Source organism: Homo sapiens, chromosome 4 (genome assembly GCF_000001405.40).
Source record: "Homo sapiens chromosome 4, GRCh38.p14 Primary Assembly".
Lineage (NCBI taxonomy): Eukaryota > Metazoa > Chordata > Mammalia > Primates > Hominidae > Homo > Homo sapiens.
In genome coordinates this window covers 79352703-79353452 of record NC_000004.12, presented here as the reverse complement: position 1 = coordinate 79353452, position 750 = coordinate 79352703, and the positions used below count along the sequence as shown (strand labels likewise).

Sequence of the window (750 nt, the reverse complement as noted above, 5' to 3'; positions counted from 1 at the left end):
CTCTTTCTGTCTGTTTCTCTCTGTTTCTCTGTCTCTGTCTTTCTCTGTCTCTCTGTCTCTCTCTTTCTTTCTCTCTGTCTCTCTGTCTCTCTCTCTCTGCCTCTGTCTCTCTCTCTCTGCCTGTCTCTCTCTCTGTGTCTGTCTTCTGTCTTAGTCTCTTTCTCTTCCTGTCTGTCTCTCTCTCTTTCTGTCTGTTTGTCCCTCTCTCTCTGTCTGTCTCTCTCTCTTCCTGTCTGTCTGTTTTTCTCTCTCTCTCTCTCTGCCTGTCTGTTTCTCTCTCTCTGTCTCTCTCTGCTTCTGTGTCTGTGTCTGTCTTCTGTCTTACTCTTTCTCTGCCCGTCTGTATCTCTCTCTCTCTCTGTCTGTCTCTCTGTCTCTGTCTGTCTGGTTTTTTCTCTCTCTCTCTCTCTCTGTCCCTGTCTGTCTCTCTCTCTCTCTGTCTCTGTCTCTCTCTCTGTTTCTCTCTGTCTCTCTCTGTCCATCTCTGTCTTTCTCCGTCTCTTTCTCTGTCTCTTTCTTTCTCTGTCTCTCTGTCTGTCTCTGTCTCTGTCTCTCTCTCTGTCCCTGTCTGTCTGTTTCTGTCTCTCTCTCTCTCTTTCTGTTTTTCTCTGTCTTTCTCTGTCCATCTCTGTCTTTGTCTCTTTCTCTGTCTGTCTCTTTCTTTCTCTGTCTCTCTCTTTCTTTCTCTGTCTCTCTCTCTCTCTACCTGTCTCTCTCTCTCTCTCTCTGTATCTGTCTTCTGTCTTACTC

General features: G+C 46.3%; 1 annotated feature.

The window, feature by feature from the left end:
• Nucleotides 1-501: an enhancer, noted in NCBI's record as "H3K27ac hESC enhancer chr4:80274106-80274606 (GRCh37/hg19 assembly coordinates)". NCBI's record gives its function as "activates a minimal SCP1, AML or CMV promoter by ChIP-STARR-seq in primed H9 embryonic stem cells {active_cell/tissue: H9 hESC(primed)}" and the evidence as "EXISTENCE:reporter gene assay evidence [ECO:0000049][PMID:30033119]".